Source organism: Homo sapiens, chromosome 19 (genome assembly GCF_000001405.40).
Source record: "Homo sapiens chromosome 19, GRCh38.p14 Primary Assembly".
Classification (NCBI taxonomy): Eukaryota; Metazoa; Chordata; class Mammalia; order Primates; family Hominidae; genus Homo; species Homo sapiens.
In genome coordinates this window covers 496,202-520,745 of record NC_000019.10, presented here as the reverse complement: position 1 = coordinate 520,745, position 24,544 = coordinate 496,202, and the positions used below count along the sequence as shown (strand labels likewise).

The 24,544-nt window shown below is 60.2% G+C and overlaps 2 protein-coding genes and 1 long non-coding RNA gene across 5 annotated transcripts, besides 10 other annotated features; 1 reads left to right on the top strand and 2 right to left on the bottom strand.

Annotated features, from left to right (window-relative positions):
- Positions 1-1,091: 1,091 nt before the first annotated feature.
- TPGS1 (tubulin polyglutamylase complex subunit 1) lies at positions 1,092-13,249 on the bottom strand. Its single transcript, NM_033513.3, has 2 exons — positions 12,902-13,249; positions 1,092-1,857 (listed from the first exon to the last, which is right to left on the bottom strand). Exons 1-2 carry the CDS (start codon positions 13,237-13,239, stop codon positions 1,323-1,325), a joined length of 873 nt encoding a protein of 290 aa, NP_277048.2. The 5' UTR covers positions 13,240-13,249; the 3' UTR covers positions 1,092-1,322.
- Positions 1,382-2,288: an enhancer, noted in NCBI's record as "H3K27ac-H3K4me1 hESC enhancer chr19:518458-519364 (GRCh37/hg19 assembly coordinates)". NCBI's record gives its function as "activates a minimal SCP1, AML or CMV promoter by ChIP-STARR-seq in naive H9 embryonic stem cells {active_cell/tissue: H9 hESC(naive)}" and the evidence as "EXISTENCE:reporter gene assay evidence [ECO:0000049][PMID:30033119]".
- Positions 7,986-8,827: an enhancer, noted in NCBI's record as "H3K27ac-H3K4me1 hESC enhancer chr19:511919-512760 (GRCh37/hg19 assembly coordinates)". NCBI's record gives its function as "activates a minimal SCP1, AML or CMV promoter by ChIP-STARR-seq in naive and primed H9 embryonic stem cells {active_cell/tissue: H9 hESC(naive and primed)}" and the evidence as "EXISTENCE:reporter gene assay evidence [ECO:0000049][PMID:30033119]".
- Positions 8,828-9,668: an enhancer, noted in NCBI's record as "H3K27ac-H3K4me1 hESC enhancer chr19:511078-511918 (GRCh37/hg19 assembly coordinates)". NCBI's record gives its function as "activates a minimal SCP1, AML or CMV promoter by ChIP-STARR-seq in naive H9 embryonic stem cells {active_cell/tissue: H9 hESC(naive)}" and the evidence as "EXISTENCE:reporter gene assay evidence [ECO:0000049][PMID:30033119]".
- Positions 9,823-10,117: a silencer, noted in NCBI's record as "tiled region #4509; K562 Repressive DNase matched - State 5:Enh". NCBI's record gives its function as "represses a minimal TATA promoter and a strong SV40 promoter by Sharpr-MPRA in K562 cells {active_cell/tissue: K562}" and the evidence as "EXISTENCE:reporter gene assay evidence [ECO:0000049][PMID:27701403]".
- Positions 9,823-10,266: a biological region, named in NCBI's record as "Sharpr-MPRA regulatory region 4509".
- Positions 9,967-10,266: an enhancer, noted in NCBI's record as "active region_13558". NCBI's record gives its function as "activates an Ori minimal core promoter by ATAC-STARR-seq in GM12878 lymphoblastoid cells {active_cell/tissue: GM12878}" and the evidence as "EXISTENCE:reporter gene assay evidence [ECO:0000049][PMID:35858748]".
- On the top strand, positions 12,857-20,977 carry MADCAM1-AS1 (MADCAM1 antisense RNA 1). 2 transcript variants are annotated; one of them, XR_936221.4, is made up of 3 exons: positions 12,857-13,370; positions 19,122-19,205; positions 20,886-20,977. It is a non-coding gene; the product is annotated as an MADCAM1 antisense RNA 1 (long non-coding RNA). The 2 variants fall into 2 exon arrangements; XR_007067073.1 differs by having other exon boundaries at positions 19,122-20,977.
- Positions 13,104-13,443: an enhancer, noted in NCBI's record as "active region_13557". NCBI's record gives its function as "activates an Ori minimal core promoter by ATAC-STARR-seq in GM12878 lymphoblastoid cells {active_cell/tissue: GM12878}" and the evidence as "EXISTENCE:reporter gene assay evidence [ECO:0000049][PMID:35858748]".
- Positions 13,104-14,173: a biological region, named in NCBI's record as "H3K27ac-H3K4me1 hESC enhancer GRCh37_chr19:506573-507430".
- Positions 13,316-14,173: an enhancer, noted in NCBI's record as "H3K27ac-H3K4me1 hESC enhancer chr19:506573-507430 (GRCh37/hg19 assembly coordinates)". NCBI's record gives its function as "activates a minimal SCP1, AML or CMV promoter by ChIP-STARR-seq in primed H9 embryonic stem cells {active_cell/tissue: H9 hESC(primed)}" and the evidence as "EXISTENCE:reporter gene assay evidence [ECO:0000049][PMID:30033119]".
- Positions 13,974-14,103: a silencer, noted in NCBI's record as "silent region_9603". NCBI's record gives its function as "represses an Ori minimal core promoter by ATAC-STARR-seq in GM12878 lymphoblastoid cells {active_cell/tissue: GM12878}" and the evidence as "EXISTENCE:reporter gene assay evidence [ECO:0000049][PMID:35858748]".
- Positions 15,403-24,260, bottom strand: MADCAM1 (mucosal vascular addressin cell adhesion molecule 1). 2 transcript variants are annotated; one of them, NM_130760.3, is made up of 5 exons: positions 24,195-24,260; positions 22,629-22,913; positions 21,921-22,250; positions 18,817-19,077; positions 15,403-16,001 (listed from the first exon to the last, which is right to left on the bottom strand). In NM_130760.3, the coding sequence occupies exons 1-5, from the start codon at positions 24,244-24,246 to the stop codon at positions 15,781-15,783; spliced, it is 1,149 nt and encodes a 382-aa protein (NP_570116.2). In that variant the 5' UTR covers positions 24,247-24,260; the 3' UTR covers positions 15,403-15,780. The 2 variants fall into 2 exon arrangements, with proteins under 2 accessions (NP_570116.2, NP_570118.1); NM_130762.3 differs by lacking the exon at positions 18,817-19,077.
- Between the last annotated feature and the right edge of the window lie 284 nt (positions 24,261-24,544).

The window sequence follows — 24,544 nt, the reverse complement described above, 5'->3', positions numbered from 1 at the left end:
CTCCGCCTCCTCGGTGCACGCCATTCTCCTGCCTCAGCCTCCAGAGTAGCTGGGACTACAGGTGCCCGCCACCACGCCCGGCTCATTTTTTGTATTTTTAGTAGAGACAAGGTTTCACCATGTTAGCCAGGATGGTCTCCATCTCCTGACCTCGTTATCCACCTGCCTCTGCCTCCCAAAGTGCTGGGATGACAGGCGTGGGCCACTGCGTCTGGCCTGTTTTTTTTTTGTTGTTGTTGTTTTGTTTTTGAGACAGGGTCTCACTCTGTCGCACAGATTGGAGTGCAGTGGCTCAATCTCGGCTCACTGCCACTTCTGCCTCCTGGGTTCAAGTTATTCTCCTGCCTCAGCCTCCTGAGTAGCTGGGATTACAGGCGCCTGCCACCACAGCCCAGCTTTTTTTTTTTTTCGTATTTTTAGTAGAGACAGGGTTTCACCATGTTGGTCAGGCTGATCTTGAACTCCTGACCTCAAGTGATCCGCCGCCTTAGCCTCCCAAAGTGCTGGGGTTACAGGTGTGAGCCACCACGCCCGGCTGGATTCGCTCTTGCAGTCTGAGAAGTGATTCTGGTTGGTGGTGGTGGGCACTGGGGGATACCGGACGACCCTCCCCACCGGTGGCGAGTGGGCTGCGTTCTGGAGCAGGCCGGGCGCAGATCCCAGCTGAGCCCTTGCTGAGGGTGTAACCTCCGCTGCCTGGGCCTGGGAATCAATCACATGAGGCACTTCAGTTCCTGGGAAGTGTTAGGGCTGTTGTCTCACCAATGTCACTACCATCTGCCCAGCTGGCCTCTTCATTTGACATCTGGGGAGACTGAGGCTCAGGGAGGATACCTGGGCCGGGCGGGGCTGGAGGGCCCGGGCCCTGCGTTCCAGAAGAGCCGCCTGCTCTCCGGCTTCAGGCTCCGCAGGGCCCCGTGGGGCGTCCCCCTCCGCTGCTCCCACCAGGCCGGGTCCAGGGGTCCCGGCGTTTCCGGCCTCGAATCCAGCCTCCAGTCGCCGCGGTTCCGGGGCCGTGGGTGACCTGCTGGGGAAAAGCGTCTTCTGCGGGCACCGGGGCTGGGAGGCGGGCGCTCGCATACACACCAGCGTCAGCCTCGCAACACATTTTATTAGCGTGGGGCAGGGGCTCCCGCGGGGGTGGAGGGGCGGCCGCGGCGCTGTGTGGGGACCGGGCGTCCGCTTCCTGGGAGCCCCGGCCTCCTCCGCAGGGCTGGGCGCCTGGTTATGGCAGGGCCTCACCAGGGCGAAGGGAAGGCTCCGCGCGCCCCGCACGCGGGGACCCCCCAGCGCAGATCCCGGATCCGCGCGGCCCACGGGCCTCAGCCCACCGGCTTGACCTTCGCGATGAAGAGCGCGGCGGCCCTCTCCAGAAACTCCTCGCGGGTCATGGGCGCGCTGGGCCGCCGCCCCCCGACGGCGCGGTCCAGCGCCAGCGCCAGGCTGTCGGGCCCCAAGCGCGAGCCGGCCTCCAGGAAGCGCGCGGGCGCGGCGGCGTCGCTGGCCTGCAGCGCGCCCTCCAGGGTGTCCAGCACGGCCTGGCCCACGCGGCGGTCGGCCACGGCGGCGGCCGAGTCCTCCAGCAGCTGGAAGAGCGCGCCGGCGCGCGCCACGAACTCCAGCAGCACGAAGCAGGTGAGTGTGCCCGCGCGGAAGACGCTCAGCGGCACCGCCTCGTGGTCACGGCACTGCACCTTGCGCAGCAGCGGCGCCACCACCTCCTCGGGGGCTTGGCCGTCCCGGCAGATGCGCCTGAGCAGCTCGCTGTAGGTGCGCCCGTCCAGCCCCGGCCTCTTCCTGCGCCCGCCGGCGCTCAGGCACTCGTAGGCCACGCTCACGTTGTTGTTGAAGGCGGCCCTGCGGAGACGGGGACGTTGGGGGCCGGCAGAGACCGCGCGCCCACCCAGCCCCAGCCTCCCCTCCTCGCCAGGCCTATGCCCTAGCCTCCCCGACCCCCCAGCCAGCCCTGGCCTCCCCTCTCCTCCTACCCCCCATCCCCGGCCTCCCCTCCTCCTCACCCTCTATCCCTGAAGCTCCTCTCTTGAGCCCCCGCCTCCCTTCTCCCAGCTAGGGCCTCTCCTCCCCGCAGCATCCCCAGCCCGGGCCTCTCCTCCCCCAAGCATCCCCAGCCCGGGCCTCTCCTCCCCCCAGCATCCCCAGCCCAGGCCTCCCTCCTCCCAGTCCCCTCCCAGCCCAGGCCTCCCTCCCCCAAGCATCCCCAGCCTGGGCCTCTCCTCCCCCAGCATCTCCAGCCCAGGCCTCCTCCTCTCAGCCCCCTCCCAGCCCTGGCCTCTCCTCCCCCCAGTATCCCAAGCCCAGGCCTCCCTCCTCCCAGCCCCTACCCAGCCCGGGCCTCCCTCTTCCCAGCCCCTACTCAACCTGGGCCTCCCCTCCCCACCCCACCAGCACTCCCAGCCTGGGCCTCCCTCCTCCCAGCCCCTACCCAGCCTGGACCTCCCCTCCTCCCAGCTCCCACCCAGCCTGGCCTCCCTCCTCCCAGCCCCTACCCAGCCGGGGCCTCCCTCTTCCCAGCCCCTACTCAACCTGGGCCTCCCCTCCCCACCCCACCAGCACTCCCAGCCTGGGCCTCCCTCCTCCCAGCTCCCACCCAGCCTGGCCTCCTTCCTCCCAGCACCCCCCAGCCCGGGGCTCCCTCCTCCCAGCACCCACCCAGCCAGGCCTTCCTCCTCCCAGCACCCCCTCAGCCTGGGCCTCCCCTCCCCACCAGCACCCCCAGCCTCGGCCTCCTCCCAACCTGGATCTCCCTCCTCCCAGCCTCTACCCAGCCTGGGCCTCCTCCCAACCTGGATCTCCCTCCTCCCAGCCTCTACCCAGCCTGGGCCTCCTCCTCCCAGCCCCCACCCAGCCTGGCCTCCCTCCTCCCAGCACCGCCCAGCCCGGGCCTCCCCTCCCCACCAGCACCCCCAGCCTCGGCCTCCTCCTCCCAACCTGGGTCTCCCTCATCCCCGCCTCCACCCAGCCTGGCCTCCCCCGTCCCAGCCCCTACCCAGCCTCGGCCTCCTCCTCCCAGCACCCCCCAGCCTGGCCTCCCCCCTCCCAGCCCCCACCCAGCCTGGCCTCCGTCCTCCCAGCACCCCCCAGCCTGGGTCTCCCCCCTTCTAGCCCCCACCCAGCCTGGCCTCCCTCCTCCCAGCCCCCACCCATCCTGGCCTCCCCCCTCCCAGCCCCCACCCAGCCTGGCCTCCGTCCTCCCAGCACCCCCCAGCCTGGGCCTCCCCCCTTCCAGCCCCCACCCATCCTGGCCTCCATCCTCCCAGCCCCCACCCAGCCTGGCCAGCCCCCACCCAGCCTGGCCTCCCCCCTCCCAGCCCCCACCCAGCCTGGCCTCCCCCCTCCCAGCCTCCACCCAGCTCAGGCCTCTCCTCCCCGCAGCTCCCATCCAGCCCTGGCTTCCCAGCTCCAACTGGACCGGCCTCAGGGCCTCTGCAAGGGCCGTGACACTGCCTTCCCCCAGATCTCCCTCACCTCCTCCCTGGTCTCCTCCAGGTCTCTCCTCAAATGTCGCCTCCCCTGACCCCTAACTCCTTTCCTCCTGTTTTCTTCCTAGTGGTCATCCTGTCTCACTCGCTGTCCCACATCCCTGTGAGCTTCATGTCTCCCACCAGTGTGAGCACCTGCCCTCCAGGGCCGGAAGTTCGTCTTGGTTATAGCCCTGGTGCCCAGAACACTGCCCTGCCCACAGTAGGTGCTCAGTAAATGTCTTGAATCAACGGCAGGCATCTGTCTGGGGCATCTGGCCCCAGTGAAGAAGGAATTAGTGAAATCAGCTCTAACCTAATAGTAGTAGTCATAGAAATTTTAAAATCCTCTTAAAGTTGCTGCAAAGTGTGACCCCCACCCTTACACTCAAGTTAAAAGAGAATGTTAACAGCCTGTCTTCTCTCTGTAGTCAGTGGACCTTATCTATACTCTCCAACTCCACATTCCTCAGTTTATTACAGGCCCAGCGAGTTCCTGCTTACCTCCCTAGCACGGCTGCAGGGTCACAAAACCGATAAGTTTAGGTTGTAAGACATGTTTTTCTCAAGATGTGAGAAATGTTGGCCAGGCACGGTGGCTCACGCCTGTAATCCCAGCACTTTGGGAGGCCGAGGTGGGAGGATCACAAGGTCAAGAGATTGAGGCCATCCTGGCCAACATGGTGAAACCCCATCTCTACTAAAAATACAAAAATTAGCGGGACGTGGTGGTACACGTCTGTAGTCCCAGCTACTCGGGAGTCTGAGGCAGGAGAATCGCTTGAACCTGGGAGGTGGAGGTTGCGGTGAGCCAAGATGGCGCCACTGCACTCCAGCCTGGGCGACAGAGCGAGACTCCGTCTCAAAAAAAAAAAAAAGAAAAAGAAAAAAGAAATGCTGTAATGCTTAACTGCCTTTGTTTCTCGCCTCTGTAACTTGCTTCCCGCCTCACGTAGTTCCCGCCTTACGATGTTTAAAAATAGGAAAAGCCCTTTGTTCGAGGCTCAGACTTTCTGGATGTATGTCCAGCTGAGCCGGTGATCACCTTGATAAACTCTCCTGAACCTTTTTCGGTCTCTCCACTCTTTGTCCCACAACACCAGGACCCTCTGGTCTCCCTCCCTGCAGCAGCAGCGCCTGTTTACATGTGGCCAAATACTGTGCCCAACATTTAACACAACTGACATTTGTTTTTTTCTTTTCTTTCTTTCTTTCTTCCTTTTTTTTTTTTTTTTGAGACGGAGTCTCGCTCTGTCGCCCGGGCTGGAGTGCAGTGGCGGGATCTCGGCTCACTGCAAGCTCCGCCTCCCGGGTTCACGCCATTCTCCTGCCTCAGCCTCCCAAGTAGCTGGGACTACAGGCGTCCGCCACTATGCCCGGCTAATTTTTTGTATTTTTAGTAGAGACGGGGTTTCACCGTTTTAGCCGGGATGGTCTCGATCTCCTGACCTCGTGATCCACCCGCCTCGGCCTCCCAAAGTGCTGGGATTACAGGCGTGAGCCACCGCGCCCGGCCCTCTTTCTTTTTTTGAGACAGTGTCTCACTCTGTTGTCAGGCTGGAGTGCAGTGGCACAATCTCAGCTCACAGCAACCTCCACCTCCCGGGTTCAAGCGATTCTCCTGCCTCAGCCTCCTGAGCTGCTGGGATTACAGGCGTGTGTTACCACACCCAGCTAATTTTTGTATTTTTAGTAGAGACGGGGTTTCACCATGTCGGCCAGGATGGTCTGGATCTCGAGTGACCTCGTGGTCCGCCCACCTCGGCCTCCCAAAGTGCTGGGATTACAGGTGTGAGCCACTGCGCCCAGTCTGTGCTGAACATTTAACACAGCTGACATTGCATTTTTTCTTTTTTTTTTTTTTTTGAGACAGGGTCTCACTGTGTTGTGCAGGCTGGAGAGCAGTGGTACAATCAGGGCTCACAGCAGCCTCCACCTCCTGGGCTCAAGCGATCCTCCTGCCTCAGCCTCCCAAACTGCTGGGATTACAGGTGACAGTTGCTGCTCGGGGCCAGTGGTGGTATTTCTCTCCCCACAATCCCACAGGCAAGGCCCCACAGTCAGCCTGAGGGTCAAATACGACCTGCTGCCTGCTTTTGTAAATAAAGCTTTATCGGAACATAACCACATCAGTCCGCTGACATGTGGCCTGTGGCAGCTTCCGACCAGAACCGTAGAGCTGAATGTCAGGATGGAGGCTGCCACGCAAAGCTGAAATGTTCACTATCTGGCCCCTTACAGAAGAAGGCTGTCAGCCCTGCTGCCGGCTCTGGGGTGGGTTCGATTCCCTGCCCCAGTGAGGAGCCTGAGGCCTTACTACGTGCCACTCGTGTGCTGGTAGTGTGACACACACTCCCGTGGAGGGCACCAGGGAGTGGCCAGGGAGCACCGTGGCCAGCGTGGGGGCCGCTGCAGGACCCTGGGTGGGCTGCTTAACCCCCTGGCCTCACTCCCCCCATCAGTTCCCGGCCAGGCCTCATGCTAGTGGCCTGTTACTTCCTCTGGGACATATAGGGAAACTGAGGCTCAGGGCAGCCCCATGGTCTGGCCAAGGGTCCCAGAGAGGAAGTGGCCAACCTCAGGGCTTACGCTTTTCCCTTCTGGGAGCTCAGCTTCATGGTGAGGAGGGCAGCCTTCCCTCCGGCATGACCTGGGCACACGACTTCACCTTTCTGTGGGCCACCTGTGGTAGGTGCCGGGGAAGTGCTAAGCCAGCATGCAGTAGGTGCTCAGTAAATGCAGGGTTGGTGTGCAGCAGGTGCTCAGTAATGCAGGGCTGGTACACAGTAGGTGCTCAGTGATGCTGGGCCAGAATGCAATAGGTGCTCAGTAAATGTGGGGCTGGTGTGCAATAGGTACTCAGTAATGCTGGGGCGGTGTGCAGTGGGTGCTCAGTAAATGCTGGGCCAGTAAGCAATAGGTGCTTAGTAAACGTGGGGTCGGTGTGCAGTGGGTGCTCAGTAATACAGGGCCGGTGTAGAGTAGGTGCTCAGTGAATGCAGGGCCAGTACACGGTAGGTACTCAGTAATGCTGGGGCGGTGTGCAGTGGGAGTGAAGTAAATGCTGGGCCAGCATGCAATAGGTGCTCAGTAAATGTAGGGTCAGTGTGCAGTGGGTGCTCAGTAATACAGGGCTGGTGTACAGTAGGTGCTTAGTGAATGCAGGGCTGGTACATAGTAGGTGCTCAGCAAATGTGGGGCCAGTGTGCAGTGGGTGCTCAGTAATGCTGGGTCTGTGTACAGTGGGTGCTCAGTAAATGCTGGGCCAGCATGCAATAGGTGCTCAGTAAATGTGGGGCCGGGGCAGGTTGGTGTGCAGCAGGTGCTCAGTAATGCAGGACTAGTGCACAGTAGGTGCTCAGTAATGCTGGGGTTGTGTGCAGTGGGTGCTCACTAAATGCTGGGCCAGGATGCAATAGGTGCTCAGTAAATGTGGGGCCAGTGTGCAGTAGGTGCTCAGTAAATGTGGGGCTGGTGTGCAGTAGGTACTCAGTAATGCTGGGCTGGTGTGCAGTAGGTACTCAGTAATGCTGGGCTGGTGTGCAGTAGGTACTCAGTAATGCTGGGCTGGTGTGCAGTAGGTACTCAGTAATGCAGGGCCAGTATGCAGTAGGTGCTCAGTAATGCTGGGCTGGTGTGCAGTAGGTGTTCAGTAATGCAGGGCCGGCATGCAGTAGGTGCTCAGTAAATGCTGGGCGGGTGCACAGTAGGTGCTCAGTAATGCTGGGCCGGTGCACGGTGGGTGCCTGGTGAACACGTGCCTCCCTGGTCATCACTGCTGCTCAGTTCAGGGCTTAGGGATGGACGTGCCATCTCAGCGAGCTCGAGGGTCAAAGCTCTGCTATGGAGGAGGAAACTGAGGCCCAGAGGCAGGAGGGCAGCGACCTGCAATTCAACTCTAGGCCCATCTGGCTGTACGCTCCTTTTCCCTCCCAAGTAGTAAAGGCCCCATTTGTTGGCCCTTATAATCCGCTGGGCGCTTTTACCATCCATGAGGTCATCCCCAAAATGCGCTGGGGGCAGTCGCAGTGTCAGCGCGGCGGCCCGAGCTCCCATCACGCCTGACCTCTCCGCATGACCCAGCAGGAGCCGCACCGGGGCCCCTCTCATCAGGATCTGCTGTGAGGCCGGGCAGGCTGCTGCCGCCTCACAGATCACACCCCAAACCTAGAGGCCCAAAACCAACAAGCATTTACTATTGACACAGCGTCTCGGCGGCGGCTTTGCTGCGAGGCTCTGGCTTGGGGTCTCTTAGGAGGTTGCCGTGGCCACACTCCCCCGGGGCTCGACGCGAGGCGGCCCAGTCCCCCGCAGGGGAACCCGCGCGGCTCTTGGCAGCGGCTGCAGGTGCTCCCTGGGAGCTGCGCGAGCGACCCCACCGCATGGCGGCTGCCCAGCCGAGCCAGCAACCCACCCAGGAGGGAGGGGGACACCACGATGTCCTTCGTGACCCGCCTCGGAGGCCACACTCTGTCCGTTGCTTCTGCAGTCCCGTTCCGGCTGTGCAGGGGGAAGGGACGGCACCAGGCCGTGAACCCCGGGAGCCGAGGCTTGCAGGGGCATCTCGAAGGCTGGCGACGGCAGCGCTGCTCCGCGGATCCCTCCGCCACTTCTCCACCCGCCACTTCTCCACCCCGCCGAGGGTGAGCCTCTGGGCCTTGCTTTGCCCCCTGAAACGTGCGAGGGGGCGTGGCCCACTTTCAGCGGGAATGTTAAGAGCCATCGTGCTACTTCTCAGTCCACTTCTCTGTGGTCATGATTGCAGGTGCGTGTCAAGATCAGACAAGCCCTTGGTGGGGGGTGGGTGGGGGTGCCGTGGCTCCTGCCTGTGAGCCCAGCACTTTGGGAGGCCGAGGCAGGAGGATTGCTTGAGTCCAGGAGTTCGAAACCAGCCTGGGCAACATAGTGAGATCCTGTCTCTACAAAAATTTAAAAATCAGCCAGGTGTGGTGACGTGCGTCTGTGGTCCCGGGTACTTGGGAGGCTGAGGTGGGAGGATCCCTTGAGCCCAGGCGGTCGAGGCTGCAGTGAGCTGGGATTGCACCACTGCACTGCAGGCTGCGTGACAGCAAGACCCTGGCTCAAAAAGAAAACTGGGCCAGGCACAGTGGCTTATGCCTGTAATCCCAGCACTTTGGGAGGCCGAGGCGGGTGGATCACTTGAGGTCAGGAGTTCAAGACCAGCCTGGCCAACATGGTGAAACCCCGTCTCTACTAAAAATACAAAAATTAGCCGGGTGTGGTGGGGGCGCCTGTAGTCCCAGCTACTCGGGAGGCTGAGGCAGGAGAATGGCGTCAACCCAGGAGGCGGAACTTGTAGTGAGCCGAGATCGCGCCACTGCACTCCAGCCTGGGTGACAGAACCAGACTCCATCTCAAAAAAAACAACAAAAAAACAACTGGACGTCCCCTGCAGAGTAAGCGAGAAGAGTTTTGCTTGTGTTGAAGCCACTGAGGTTTGGGGTTGTTGGTTCCTGTCGTGCTCGCAGCTTCTGACTGACAGGTCTGTGGGCCGGGATTACCCAGCGCCATCCACCACCACTTCTGCATAAATGCTCTCCTCTCTGGGGGCGGCAGCCCTGGTCCAGCTCCGCAAGCATCCACGCGGCCCCTCGGTGTGCAGGGCTCTGTGCCTGGCCCAGGCCTGCCTCGGGTGTTCGTCTGCCCCTCCCAGCTGTGTGCACTCTCCTTTTCTGCACCTGGCCTTGTGCATCTACGGAGTGGGGGTTCTTGTGAGGACGGGAGAACGGGGCTGGAGCCAGGTGCTCAGGACAGCAGCTGGCATACGTGTGGGAGGCCCCACCTGCTTATTTTGGGCTGTAATTAGGGCTGCAGCTCAGCCACAGCTGCCTTGAGGGGCAGGAAGACACACAAAGAGGTAATTACAGCCTGGTGAGATCACAGCCATGATGACGGCAGGAGACAGGAAGGTGACAGCCCACTTCAAGGCGGCCGCATACCCGCCCCTCCTGGGCTCCCGGGCGGCTCCCAGCAGAATCATCGGGTGAGGGAGGAGGAGGAAGAGGAAGGCAGCAAGCTCTGGGCTCGGAGGAGGAGGCCGGGGCTGGAACGTCAGCTCTGCCTGTGACGGTGGCCTCTGGGCCTTGGTTTCCCTGATTGCAAAATGGAAAGCGGGAGCCCAGCCAGGGCTCCGTCTGTGTCGGCTCCTACACAGAGCGGTTTGTAAGGCGTGTGAGCATTTGTTAATACAGGAAAGATTCTATTTATGGAACGTCTCCAGAAAGAGACAGGAGCCACCCTACACCTTAGACTTCTGCTTCCCACTCCTGCCCCCAGCAGACGCCGGGCGGTGTCTGGGACATCTGTGGTTGTCACGACTCGGGGAGCTCCTGGCAAGGAGTGGGTGGAGGCCAGGGACGCTGCTCAGGGCCCTGCAGTACCCAGGACGGCCCCCAGAGGACGAGTCGGGGGAACCCTGGCCCAGATCAGCTGGGGCTTCGTTTTCGTGCACGTTTTCCTGGCAGTGACCTGCAGGGGGCAGTGCAGCCCTTGCTGCCAGGATGAGCAACGTGGTGGCTGAGGAGGCCTCCGGGGCTGCACTCTGGGGCTCTCTGACCCCAGCTCTGCCCTCGGTGGCCGTGTGGCCTTCAGCAAGTCATGTAACGTCTGTGTGTGTGCTCCAGGGGGCCTTGGAGACGACCAGGAAGGTGGCAGGAGGGGGACACTGTGGCTGCCATCACCAGCCCTGGCGGCCGGAGCTTGCCATTTCTCAAAAGAAGGTGCCAGGGAGGATCTGGGGTGACTTCTCCCCCAGCCTACCACGGTGATGCTCTCAGGAGCAGCCCCAGTCAGCCCCTCAGCCTTTGGGGGTCAACACACTGGACTGAGTGGGGACAAATCTGCCAGGCTCTGAGCTTCTCTTTTTTTTTTTTTGAGACAGAGTCTCGCTCTGTCGCCCAGGCTGGAGTGCAGTGGCGCGATCTCGGCTCAATGCAAGCTCCGCCTCCTGGGTTCATGCCATTCTCCTGCCTCAGCCTCCCGAGTAGCTGGGACTACAGGCGCCCGCCACCACACCCGGCTAATTTTTTGTATTTTTAGTAGAGACGGGGTTTCACCGTGTTAGCCAGGATGGTCTCGATCTCCTGACCTTGTGATCCGCCCGCCTCGGCCTCCCAAAGTGCTGGGATGACAGGCGTGAGCCACCGCGCCCGGCTGCTCTGGGCTTCTCTTCCTGACTGGTCAGGTGACCTCAGGGGTTCCTGACGGTCCAAGGATGGAGGGGCGGCCGGAGCTGCCTGCTGGGAGGACGGGAGCAGGCCTGGCTCCATGAGCACAGAATCAGATGCCACGCAGGTCTGTGCACCTGTCTTCTGCATTCCCCACTGGCTGTGTCTCTGGGGAGCCCAGGCGAGCCCAGGGCCGGGATGCATCTGCCACCAGCACCACCCTTGCCCTGAGTCCCTGCTATGAGAACTCTTCCAGCCAATGGCTCCACTCCTGTCCTGGGGTGACTGGTGCCCACCAAACTCACGCCCATCCAGAACCTCAGACTGAGAGCTTATTTGAGACAGCAGCTTTGCAGATGTAGGCGGTTGAGGTCACACTGGAGTAGGGTGGGGCCTAGTGGTGTCCTTATGAGGGAACACAGAACAGAGACACACAGGAGGCCACGTGACGACGGAGGCAGAGACTGCAGCAATGTGGCCACAAGCCAAAGACTGCTGGCCGCCACTGGAGGCTGGGGAGGCAAGGAAGGCTCCTTCCCTGGAGCCTCCAGAGGGAGTGTGGTCCTCCTGACACTCCGATTTCAGACTTCTGCCCTCCAGAACTGTGAGAGAATAAATTTCTGTTGTTTTAAGCCACTAAGTTGGAGGTAATTTGTTCCAGCAGCCCTCGGAAATTAATATAAATATAAATATCCTCATCTGCAGTGTCTACGGGGTGAGTGGCTTGTGCAGTGCTCAACCTGAACAACCATACGTGGTGGGCCTGCTGTTGACCCCTTTTCCTCCTTGGGAGATTCTCTTCCGGATGTCCTGGGAGGCCATCTTCCTCCTGCTCCCCGTTCACCTCTGGTCTCACGTTCTCACCCTCTCTGGTGGGCTCTCTGGGCTAGGTGCCCTCAGAGTGGGGTCCTGAGCTCTTCTCATCTCTCCTGAAGACTTCAGGACCCCTCCAGTTCAGTCTTCTGTCCTGGCCCCACGTCAGTTGCAGACGCTTCTTTCTACCTTCCTGTCTCCAGGCTCCTCCCAGCCTCCAACTTAATCCGCAAGTGGCTCTGGCAGCTTCTTCAAACCAGGGGCCTTCCATCGCAGTAAACGGCTCCACTGACCCTCTGGGCCTGCCCTTGCCCGCTCCCCTCCCACCTGGCTCCAGCAAATCATCGGGCGGGGCCTTCAGAGCCACTGGGCCACCGGAGCAAGTCTGCTCCTTGTCCAGGTACCCAACACCCTGCCACCCTTATCTGAGTATGATCTTGGACACCTGTGCACCCTGAACGTGGTAGGGGGGACACTCCCCATCTCTCTTCTCCCCCCGAACTTCTCTGGGACTCTGGCGAGGGCTGCCATGGTGGGCGCTTATGCCCTGGTTATGAGGCTGAAAGGGCACCTTTGCTTGGCATCCTTCCCTGCCTGCTCTTCCCACCCCCTTCCTGGGTTCTCTTGGGCGCACCCCCTTGTAAAATCACCTGCACACACAATGCCTACCTCAGGCTCCGCTTCTGGGGACCCCCCCCCCAACAAAAGACATCAGCCCATCCATCCCCAACGCCAACAGATAGTCCCCAACCACCTTCCCTGGGCTCAGAACTGGCCCCAGCCAGGGGACACCGCGCGTAGGCACCTGCAGCCTCGCATGCTTCAGCCAAATTCCGTGGCTTTCCCGCCTCCCGTGTGCCCCACACTCGGGGTCTAAATTTGCACCTGCTGGGCCTCTTCCCTGCAACCCGCCCGCACATCGCCAGGCTCTTCCAGGAATCCCCACCTGCCCGCTGGGAGCCTGTCCCCTAAGATGGGGGCCCTGGGTGACTGCGCTGCTCTCTGTAAATATTCACGTTCTGGCTGAATGGACGGGGATAACATGAGGCTGCTAAGGAGGCGACTAGGAGGACCTGGCTCGGGGGCTGGCTCTGCGACCTCGGGCCAAGTCCTCTTGAGCTGCACGATTTTGAAAATCATGAACTGCAAGGGGAAACTCAGCACCTGCAAAAAGGCATCACAGAAGGCGAAGCCGGCCAGAAGGACTCGCGCCGCATGCAGCGCGCTGCCTAGCGCCGGACCGAAGCCCGGACCCTCCAGCCCACCTTGTCCGATCCATCCCACCCAAGAAGGCATCGCGCACTACAACTCCCAGCAAGCCCCGGGCCCCTGCGCCGGCGCTGCGGGTAGGGAGCCGCGCGCGGCATGCTGGGAGTTGAAGTCCATCGCTGCCCCACCCGCCCAAGCCGGCCCACTGCGCACCTCTGGGAGTGGTGGGCCAGGCGAAGGTGCCATAGCGCGCGGCCCAGGCGCTGCTGCTGCAGCAGGAGCTGGCCCGGGGGCTCCCCGGCGCCGCCGTTTACAGGCGAGCGCAGGCCCATGTTCTCGAAGTAGTGAGCCAGGAAGGCGATCGGCTCCTCGGGCCGCGCCTCCAGCACCTTCAGCAGGGCCGCACGTAGCATTTCCGTCACGCCGACCTGCCGCAGGAAGTCCTCCTCGCTCTCGGCCGCCCCCGCCGCCCGGGATACCGACTGGCGGCCGCTGTCCGTGAAACCGGCCGGCGGTGGTACCGCTTGCCGCCGCTTCTCCACTGCCGCCATCTTCGCTGAGGGCAGCGGGACCGGAAGCACCGCCATATTCCACTGTGCGCTAGAGCCCCCCCAAGGCGGCCATCTTGATTAAGGGCAGAGGGCACCGGTATCCCGCTGGGAGACTTTGGGAAGTGACAAGGGTACGCTACCACTTTCCTTGTGTCCTTATTGGCACTCTCTCTTCTCCTCCCTCTTTGTGTATATTGATTGGCTCTCCTGGCTTTGGCCTCGGTCCTGAATTTTGCCAGACTCCAAAATGGCTGCCTCGGAAGTGCTTCGTTTCTGGCACAAAGCCGGATTGCTTGCCATTTGGGTAGTGAGCGAGTCCTTCATTAGCATGGTCTCCTAGCAACCAGTCTCCCTGGTTAGCAGAGAAGCCTGACGGAGCATGCGCGGGGCTGGACCTGCCCAGGACTGCTGGACCCAGCCCCGCGCCCGGCCCCCAGACCCTTTTCTCATGTTCATCTCTGAGCCTTGGTGCTGGGGGTCGAGCTCAGCCTGGCCTTCCGCCTAACTCAGTCAACGTCTGAGTGCGTAGCTCACCTCGTGGGAGAAGCCCCCTCCCCAGCTCCGCTGCAGCTGCGCTGAGCCCCTATTGGCGGCCACACGGGCGAGCATCCCGCGCTGTTACCCCCTGACCGCCAGAGGGAGCTTTCTGACACCGCAGCCTCCAGAGCTGTAAACTCTGCCATGGCTCTCCAGGGCCCCCGGGCTGGCACCTCCAGGCCTTCATCGCCTGACCTCGCTTCCGGCCGCCCTCCCGGCCCTCCCAACCCTCCGCAGCCCGCAGCCACCTCAAAACACAAGCAGTCTCCTCCATAAGCCGCCTCTGGGTGTGTTTCCCCAGGCGACCTCTGTGGATCTTCCCTCACTGCTTTCGGGGACTCCTGGTTAAGCTTCTCACCGAGGAAACCACTAAGCCCTCGCGTTTCCCCGCCCCGGGCAGAGCTTGCTGGGTGCCGTCCCCGTCCCTCAGGGGCGTTGCCCCGGGCAGGGGGCAATGAGAGCTGTTTGCCGGGGGACCGTTCCACCATCCTCCCAGCACAGGAATCTCTGGCGGGCAGACCAAATGCCCTTTGTAAAACGTGAAGTAGAGGTTCCTCTTCAAATGAGACTTTCCTCCCCATCTAATTAGGAATAAATAGTAACTTCTCTTAGAAGCAAAATGTATTCAAAGGCCTGTGGTAGGCCGGGCGCGGTGGCTCACGCCTGTCATCCCAGCACTTTGGGAGGCCGAGGCGGGCGGATCACGAGGTCAGGAGATCGAGACCATCCCGGCTAACACGGTGAAACCCCGTCTCTACTAAAAATACAAAAAATTAGCCAGGCGTGGTGGCGGGCGCCTGTAGTCCCAGCTACTCGGGAGGCTGAGGCAGGAGAATGGCGTGAACCCGGGAGGCGGAGCTTGCAAGTGAGCCGAGATCGCGCCACTGCACTCCAGCCTGGGCGACAGAGCGAGACTCTGTCTCAAAAAACAAACAAACAAAAGACCTGTGCTAACATTCTTTGTTAATTAATTGTTAATGTTATATTGAATATATATAATGTAATAAGGAAATCAACATACTTTATGTTCTTAGTGCCCACAATGTAGGCTAAATATCTGCCCTGGCATGCTTATACTGGTCCAAGCAAGCATTAGGTCATAACCTGTTCCTCTTCCTTATTTGAAGGTGTTTTTACCTTTCTTAGCATTCCACAAGCTACTTCTTCCTTCCTTTGTTCTCCTCTGCCTTTGCCTCTTTTTAAAAGTTCCAAGCTGCTAGCCGATCGGGATAAATACAGAATGTGAGGTCCCGTTCCAGCCAATGGAAACCGTCCCGTTCCAGCCAATGGAAACCGGACAGAGCAGTAGGGTGGACGCGTCAGGTTATAAATGACCCTGTCTCCTTTGTTCTGGATACTCTCGTGGCAAAACTGCTGGCCAGTGTACCCTTTCTGCAGAAAGTAAAACAGTGGCCTTGCTGAGGAAATGACATTTATATTCAAGTGCTATTTCTTTACGGCACCGGGGAACAAGCATTTCTAACACTTTCTTCTCCAGCCCCGGACTGTGGGATGAGGGAGATGGAGCCATCAGGGCAGGACCCACAGTCAACCCTCTGCTGTCCGGAGCCCTCAGACCTCTCCTCTCCACGGAGTGGGTGTCAACTGAGAAAACTGACACGTTTGTATCATTTTAGGAGGTTTATTTGCCAAAGCCTCAGGAGGTCCTGACGACAGGGGCCCAGGGTGGTCAGGGCACAGCTTGGTCTTACGCATTTTTAGGGAGACGTGAGACATGAATCAATGTATGTAAAAAGTACGTGGTTCCGTCCAGAAAGGTGGGGACCACTCAGGGAGGGGCTTCAGGTCATGGGTAGGTGAGACAAACAGTGGCCTTCTTTTGAGTTTCTGATGAGCTTCTCCAAAGAGGCAATCAGAACATGCATCCATCTCTGTGAACAGAGGGATGACTTTGAGTAGAATGGGAGGCAGGTTTGCCCTGACCAGTTCTCAACTTGAAGGGGTCCAAGCTATTTTGCTTTCACAGGGGGAAAGGCTGGCCACTCAGGAGGGGCTGATCCCGACCTGGCCGGTCCCCCTTAACCCAGCCCAGGCCGACACCTGGGGCAGAAGCCTCAGAGAAGCTGGTGGGTGGGTGTCGTCCTCAGCCAGGTGCCGGCAGCGTTTCCAGAGGTGATAGGTGGGCAAGGCCAGGAGCAGCAGTCCCAGCACCGCACTGCTGGTCCACAGAGCCGCGGGCAGCTGGTCACCCGCAGGTTTGGACGCTGGGGAGAGAGTGCAGGAGACCCCGGTCAGAGCCCTCCAGGCCTCTGCAGGCTTGGGAAGGGAGGAGCCCCTCAGAGGCTACACGTGCTTCCAAAGTTACCACGTTCCCTGAAATTTCACAAAGGACTTTACCATGACCCTTTTGAAATGCGCATAGCACCTTAGAGTTTAGAAATGGGCAGTCCAGGCCAGGCGGGGTGGCTCACGCCTGAAATCCCAGCACTTCGGGAGGCCAAAGCGGGTGGATCACGAGGTCAGGAGTTCGAGACCAGCCTGACCATGGTGAAACCCTGTGCCTACTAAAAATACAAAGTTAGCTGGACATGGTGGCAGGCGCCTGTAATCCCAGCTACTTGGGAGGCTGAGGCAGGAGAATCACTTGAACCCGGGAGGTGGAGGTTGCAGTAAGCTGAGATCGCACCACTGCACTCCAGCCTGGGTGACAGAATGAGACTCTGTCTCTCAAAAAAAAAAAAAAAAAAAAAAAAGGGCAGACCGGAGAGAGGACGGCTCACCACCATGAAGGGTGCTGAGCCTACAATCTGCACTTTGAAGACTTAGTCTGGGGAAAAGGGAGGAATGTAATATATCTCCTTCATACTATTTTATATTGATTACCTGTTGAAATGATAATGCTTGGGATATATTGGGCTCTGCGAAATGTATGACCACACTTTTTTTTTTTTTTCGAAATGGAATCTTGCTCTGTCCCCCAGGCTGGAGTGCAATGGCGTGATCTTAGCTCACTGCCACTTCCGCCTCCCGGGTTCAAGTGATTCTCCTGCTTCAGCCTCCCGAGTAATCCTCAGCTGGGATTACAGGCACATGCCACCACACCTGGCTAATTTTTGTATTTTTAGTAGAGATGAGGTTTCACCATGTTGGCCAGGCTGGTCTCGAACTCCTGACCTCAGGTGATCCTCCTCCTTGGCCTCCCAAAGTGCTAGGATTATAGGCATGAGCCACCGTGTCTGGCCAACACTTTTTTTTTTGAGACTGAGTCTTGCTCTGTCACCCAGGTGTGATCTCAGCTCACTGCAGCCTCAACCTCCTGGGCTCAAGTGATCCTCCTGCCTCGGCCTCCCAAAGTGCTGGCATTACAGGCATGAGCTACCATGCTTGGCCCGACCACATTATTTTTACTTTTAATTTTTTTTTTTTTTTTGAGACGGAGTCTTGCTGTCTCCCAGGTTGGAGTGCAGTGGCGCGATCTCGGCTCACTGCAGGCTCCGCCTCCCAGGTTCACGCCATTCTCCTGCCTCAGCCTCCCGAGTAGCTGGGACTACAGGCGCCCGCTGCCACGCCCGGCTAATTTTTTGTATTTTTAGTGGAGACGGGGTTTCACCGTGTTAGCCAGGATGGTCTCGATCTCCTGACCTCGTGATCCGCCCGCCTTGGCCTCCCAAAGTGCAGGGATTACAGGCATAAGCCACCGTGCCCGGCCCATTTTTTTTTTTGAGATGGAGTCTCGCTCTGTGCCCCAGGCTGGAGTGCAGTGGCGCGATCTCGGCTCACTGCAAGCTCTACCTCCCGGGTTCATGCCTTGCCTTTACTTTTAAATTTGAAATTACCTGTAGGAAGTAGAAAAGTTCCTCTTCAAAGCTCGTCTTGATTTACAAATAAAATAATAGACATAGACACTAGAAATAATAGCTTCTTACTCTAAAGCCTCCTATCAGCTATTAGTTCTTACACTTTAGCCCAGTTAGTTGCTTGGGCTTACCCAGGCATATCTGGAGAGTCCCAGGGAAGTCTTAGCTCATAGCTTATGCCCCTTCCTTATTTGGAAATGTTACTGCTTCCTCAAATCTTTCGTAAGCAACTTCCTCTCCTTGTTTGTCCTCCTTTGCGCTTACCTACTTAGGAAAGTTTTAGGTTGTTAGCAAACTGGGTATCAGTTTAAGAGTGTGATATCCTGCTCCAGCCAGTGGATGCAGGACACAGCAGTAAGGGCGACCCAAATGTGTGAGGGATAAATATGTCTGCTTTTCCTTTGTTCAGCTGTGCTCTCGCCATTGTTCCGTCTACAATGAGCACCCTTTCTGCAGAAAGTAAAAGTGGCCTTGCTGAGAGAATTAAATTTGTTTGAGTGCTATTTCTTTGTGGCACTGGGGGACAAGCATTTCTAACATTACCTATGTGGGCCGGGTGCAGTGGCTCACACCTGTAATCCCAGCACTTTGGGAGGCCGAGGCGGGCAGATCACCTCAGGTCAGGAGTTGGAGACCAGCGTGGTCAACATGGTGAAACCGCATCTCTACTAAAAATACAAAAATTAGCCGGGAGTGGTGATGGGTGCCTGTAATCCCAGCAACTCAGGAGGCTGAGGCAGGAGAATCGCTTGAACCCAGGAGGCGGAGGTTGCAATGAGTCGAGGTTGCACCACTGCACTCCAGCCTGGGGGACAGAGCGAGACTCTGTCTCACAAAAAAAAAGGAAAGAAATTACCTATGTGGCCGCATTGTTTCTGCTTCTATTCCAAAGATTCTTCTAGTCTACAAGGCTTAGAATTTACCAAGTGCCTTGACATCTACACAGTCCCTGATGTTTACAAAAAGGACCCACAGTTAAGAGAAGCCCACTGGACAGACAAGGAAACTGAGGCTGGGCAGATGGGGAAACCGAGGCTGGAAAGACGGGGAAACCGAGGCTGGGCAGATGGGGAAACCGAGGCTGGGCAGACGGGGAAACTGAGGCTGGGCAGACGGGGAAACCAAGGCTGGGCAGGGCAATTTCTTGTCTAAAGTCTTCATCCAAGGAACCTCTCGCTCTCAGCCCTTCCCACCCTCCCTGCCCCCAGGGACCAGAACTCACAGCCTGTTGGGATCACTTCTCCCTGCGTGGGCCCAGCCTGGGAGATCTCAGGGCGGCGAGTCCTGGTGGAGCCTGGGCTCCTGGGGGTGTGTGTGGAGCCCTGCTGGGGGGCGGGCTCCGGGGAGGTCTTGTCGGGAGGCTCCGGGGAGGTGGTGTCGGGAGGCTCCTGGGAGGTGGTGTCGGGAGACTCCGGGGAGGTGGTGTCGGGAGACTCCGGGGAGGTGGTGTCGGGAGGCTCCGGGGAGGTCGGGCTGTGCAGGACTGGAAACAGAGTGAGGGTTTTTTTTTCCTCTCTGCTGCCCCAGGCTTGCCTCTCCTGCCTCAATCTCCGCATCTGGATGAAGGGCTTGGACCAGAACCCCTCCAAGCCCCTTCCCTGGACCACTCTGGTGAGTCACATTTCCATTTATTCTTTTTTTTTTTTTTTTTTTTTTTTTTTTTTTTGAGACAGAGTTTTGCTCTTGTTACCCAGGCTGGAGTGCAGTGGCGCAATCTTGGCTCACCACAACCTCCGCTCCTCAGGTTCAAGCGATTCCCCTGCCTCAGCCTCTGGAGTAGCTGGGATCACAGGCGCTTGCCACCACACCTGGCTAATTTTGTATTTTTAGTAGAGATGGGGTTTCTCCATGTTGGTCAGGCTGGCCTTGAACTCCCAACCTCAGGTGATCTACCCACCTCGGCCTCCCAAAGTGCTGGGATTACAGGCGTGAGCCACCACGCCCGGCCTGGTTTTTTTTTTTAGAGATGGGGTCTCACTCTGTCGTGCAGGCTGGAGTGCAGTGTTGTGATCATGGATCACTGCAGCCTCAACCTCCCAGGCTGAAGCCATCCTCCCCACTCAGCCTCCTGAGTAGCTGGGACCACAGGTGTGCAATACCACGCCCAGCTAATTTTTAAATTTTTTTGTAGAGATGGGAGGTCTCGTATGTTGCCCAAGCTGGTCTGGAACTCCTGTACTCAAGTGATCCTCCCGCCTCAGCCTCCCATGGCTGGCCTACATTTTTGTTTCTATTCGGCTTACTGTTCTAGTTGATAAAGCCTAGAATTTGTTGTTGTTGTTGAGATGGAGTCTCGTTCTGTTGCCCAGGCTGGAGTGCAATGGTGCGATCTCGGCTCACTGCAACCTCCGCCTCCCGGGTTCAAGCGATTCTCCCGCCTCAGCCTCCTGAGTAGCTGGAATTACAGGCGCTCACCACCACGCCAGGCTAATATTTGTATTTTTAGTAGGGGACGGGGTTTCACCATGTTGGTCAGGCTAGTCTCGATCTCCTAATCTCGTGATCCACCCACCTCAGCTTCCCAAAGTGCTGGGATTACAAGCATGAGCCACCGCACCTGGCCACATCTAATTTTTGTATTTTTAATAGAGATGGGGTTTCACTATGTTGGCCAGGCTGGTCTTGAACTCCTGACCTCAGGTAATCCACCCACCTCAGCCTCCCAAAGTGCTGGGATTACAGGCGTGAGCCCGGCCTAAAGCCTATAATTTATAAAGTGCTTTGAAATCCACATGGTCCCTGAAATTTACAAAGGACCCACAGTCAGGGAAGTCCACTGGACAGATGAGGAAGCTGAGGCACCACAGTGGGCAGGATGGGAGTCCGGGCATTCCAGGTCCCCCACTCACTGGCAACATCACCCCAGCAGCCTCCTTAATCTCCACGTGCCTCAGTTTCCTCAACTGTCAAAGGGGTGAGAGTCACCTCTTTGGGCTGCCCTGAGAGCGAGTGGGTCCCGCGTTTATTATGATGGGCTGTGGACGAGGAGAGTTGGGAGGAGGCTGGCGTGGAGAGAGAAGGTGCTTGGGGGCTTTCTGCCCTGGCCTTCTGCTCCATCCCCTGTGGGACTGATGGGGAGACTGAGGCCCGTGAGGGCCCGTGTTCTGTAAAATATCCCTCAAATCCAGCCTCCTCTCTGCCCACCCCAGCCCCACCCCCACCACAAAGACCTCCCGGGTCTCCCAGCTTCTGCTTTATCCCCGGGAGCCCTTTGCTTGAAACTCACGACCTCACGTCCATTAACATGGGTATCAGGGTGCCCCATGGGAGGACAAATCCCTTTTTCTTTAGTGGGAGAAGCCGGCAGGGGCTTCGGGATTGGACAGAGCGTGAAGGGAGCACCGCCAGGGCACCGGCCCACATTAAATGTCTTCATCCGAGCATTCAGCAAGGGTTTATTGAGCACCTGCTATGCCCCAGGCCCTGTTCTAGCTTCTGTGGACACAGCCGTGCGCGACACAAGATTCCCACCTGGGGAGCCACAGTGGGAGAAGGTCATGGAAAAGAGAATGTACGGGACTGGGGGATGTCAGATGTTATCCAAGGTGTCAAGAAACGAAACAGAAGGGAAAGGGGGCTCACACGCGTGTGCGTGTTTGTACACGCGTGTGCCTGTGTGCCTGTGTTTGTACACGCGTGTGGGTGTGTGCGTTTGTTCCCGTGTGTGCTTGTGTGCCTGTTTGTACACGCGTGTGCGTGTGTGCCTGTGTGCACGCGTGTGTGTGTCTGTGTTTGTACATGTGTGTGCTTGTGTGCCTATGTTTGTACACGTTGGGGATCAGGGGTTGACCCTTTAAACGGGAATCCAGGGAAGCCTCACGGAGGAGGCAACATTCTACAGAGACCTGAGGGGGAGGAGGAGAGAGCCGTGGAAAGATCCGGAAGAAGGGTATTCCCGGCAGAGGGCACAGCCGTGCAAAGGCCCCGGGGCAGGATCACGCCTGGTGTGTTGGAGGAACAGCGAGGAGGCGAGGAGGCCCGTGTGGCTGCAGCAGAATGAGGAGGGGGAGAAAGGGTGGAGGGAGGACAGGAAGGGGACAGGGTAGGTCGTGCAGGTTCCTGTGGGCCCCCGGGAGGACTTGGGCTTTGACCCCAAGGCAAGAGCCATGGAGCGCTGTGGGCAGGGGAGGGGTGGGACCTGTGCTGGGGGGCAGGTGCTCGGCAAATACATGTTGCGTCGATGAATGTCGCTGTCGCTGCGTGGGGGAATCCAGTCCTCCCAGCGCCCCACAGCACAGGTGCTGCCCCCCCACCCCCCCACCCCGTCCCGAAGTGCTTGTCAAGGCTGGCGAGCGGGTGGGTCTCCAGGGCACCCAGCGGACTCACCGGGGATGGCCTGGCGGTGGCTGAGCTCCAAGCCAGGCAGCCTCATCGTGGCCTGGCAGTAGAGGGCGGGCGGGACAGGGGTCCCCAGGGGCGGCAGCCGCCAGCGCTCTGTCACCCTGAACAGCACGTCCTCGTCCCCCTGGGGCTCCTCCTCCTCCTCCTGCACCTCCGGGCCCAGGGCTTGCGCCCCCTCCAGTTCCTGGCCCCCGACGAGCAGGGAGAAGGAGAGCGCGTTGGGGTCCACGGGCGTGACTTTGTGGGCCGTACAGGCCACCTCCGGGTCACCAGGCACCAGGGCTGCTGGGGAGACGGTCAGCTGGTCCGGGAAGGCTGTGATGGAGGGTCGGGGGTGAGGGCTGAGCCCAGAGTCAGGGCTGGACGTGATGGAGGGGCCGGAGCCCGGAGGGGCTTGGAGCTGGGGCCAAGGATGCGTGGGGGCTGCTGATGAACAGGCAGTAGGGACGGCCTGTGCGCAGGCCCCGTGGCCCCACCCTGGGAGGCTGGAATAGACAGGAGGATGGGCCAGGGCCGGCCCTGGGAGAGTTGGGGTGAGTTGGAGGGAAGCGAAGGCCGGGGACCTGGCTTCGGGGAGCTGTGCATGGAGCTGGGACCCTGCCTGCAATCTGGGAGGCTTCCAGGAAGAGGTGGCATAGGGAAGGAGCCGGGAGTCCAAGGGTCAGAGAGGCAGGGCGCGGGGGGACGCCTCACCGTACACAAGGAGCTGCACGGTGTGCTGGAAGGTGCGGCCCCCGCAGGAGCCCACGCACACGCGGGTCCCGGCCGCCGACAGCGAGGCGTTGCGCACGGTGAGGACGCTGCGGCCCGTGTCCGACTGCACCGCGCCCAGGCTGGTGTCCAGGCCCCGCCACTGCACCGAGGCCCCGCGGTCCGCGCAGGCCAGGCGGCAGGTGAGCTGGCGCGAGGCGCCCAAGGCCACGGCCACCACCGGCTCCGGGGGCTCCACCTGCAGGGGCTTCACCTGGAGGGACTGGCCTGCGGCGACCGCGGCTCTCGCTCAGCCCCGCGGAGTCCCGGACCCCGCCCCGCCACCGGCCCTGCGTCCCGCTCCACCCCCGGACCCCGCCCCGCCTCTGCCCGGTTCCCGGACCCTCCGCTGCACCCCCGGACCCCTGCCCCGCCGCTACCCGGACTCCCAGGCTCGGTCCCTGAACCCCGCCCCGACCGCCGCCTCTGCCCCAGTCCCCCGAACCCCAGCTGCCTGGAGCCAGTTTCGCTGCGGGTCAGGGGGCCGCGCGGAGCCCCGCAACTTCCCCTCTCAGCCCCTGCCTCCTCCGAGCCCCCTCCTCTGGCAGGATCACCAATCACCCCCTATCTCGGAGCCCCTTAACTCTGAGCACCCCTCGTCTCTCCCGCGCCCCCTCCGAGCCCCTCCTCTCTCCTGCGCCCCCTCTTAACTCCCTCCTCTCTCCCGCGTCCCCTCCCCGCTCACCGCGCCCCTTCCTCTCCCCCGGGCCCCCTCCCCTCTCCCGGGCCCCCCTTCTCTTCCGAACCCCCTCCCCTCTCCCGAGCCCCCTCCCCTCTCCCGAGCCCCCCTTCTCTTCCAAACCCCCTCCCCTCTCCCGCGCCCCCTCCTCTCTCCTGAGTCCTCTTCACTTTACTGCGCCCCCTGCTCTCTCCTGCGCCCCCTCCCCTCCGCGCCCCTCCTCTCTCCTGCGCCCCTTCTCTCTCCTGAGCCCCTTCTCTCTCCTGAGCCCCCTCCACTCTCCTGCGCCCCCTCCTCTCCCCTGCGCCCCTCCTCTCTCCTGCGTCCCTCCTCTCTCCTGAGCCCCCCCACTCTACTGAGCCCCCTCCCCTCTCCTGAGCCCCCTCCTAACTCCCTCCTCTCTCCCGCGTCCCCTCCCCGCTCACCGCGCCCCTTCCTCTCCCCCGAGCCCCCTCCCCTCTCCCGCGCCCCCTCCTCTCTCCCGCGCCCCCTCCACTCTCCTGCGCCCCCTCCTCTCTCCTGCGCCCCCTCCCCTCCGCGCCCCCTCCTCTCTCCCGCGCCCCCTCCTCTCTCCTGCGCCCCTCCTCTCTCCTGAGCCCCCTCCACTCTCCTGAGCCCCCTCCTCTCTCCTGCGCCCCTCCTCTCTCCTGCGTCCCTCCTCTCTCCTGAGCCCCCCCACTCTACTGAGCCCCCTCCCCTCTCCTGGGCCCCCTCCTCTCTCCCGGGCCCTCTCCTCTCTCCTGAGCCCCCTCCCCTCTCCTGAGCCCCCTCCTCTCTCCTGAGCCCCCTCCTAACTCACTCCTCTCTCCCGCGCCCCCTCCCCTTCTCACCGAGGAGGAGCCCCAGAAGCCCCGCCAGCAGGAGGGCCAGTCCGAAATCCATGCTCAGTCCCCTCTGTCCCGAGGCCGCGGGGAAGCCGCTTAAATAGAGGCGCCCACTCCTTCCCGCCGCCCGGCGACCCCGCTCCAGCTGCTCCCCGGGGGCTTCCCAAGGGGCTTTCCTGGCCTGACCCCCGACCCTGGAGGCGGCAGAGAGGCAGGGGCTGGGGGCCAAAGATGGGGCGGGGTCCCGGGGCCACTCAGGACGGGCAGGCAGGAAGGTCTGGGTCTGTTCCAAGCCTCATATTCAGGCACGGGAAGATCGCAGACGGAGGCCGGAGGGTCGAGGTCAAGTGCATGGA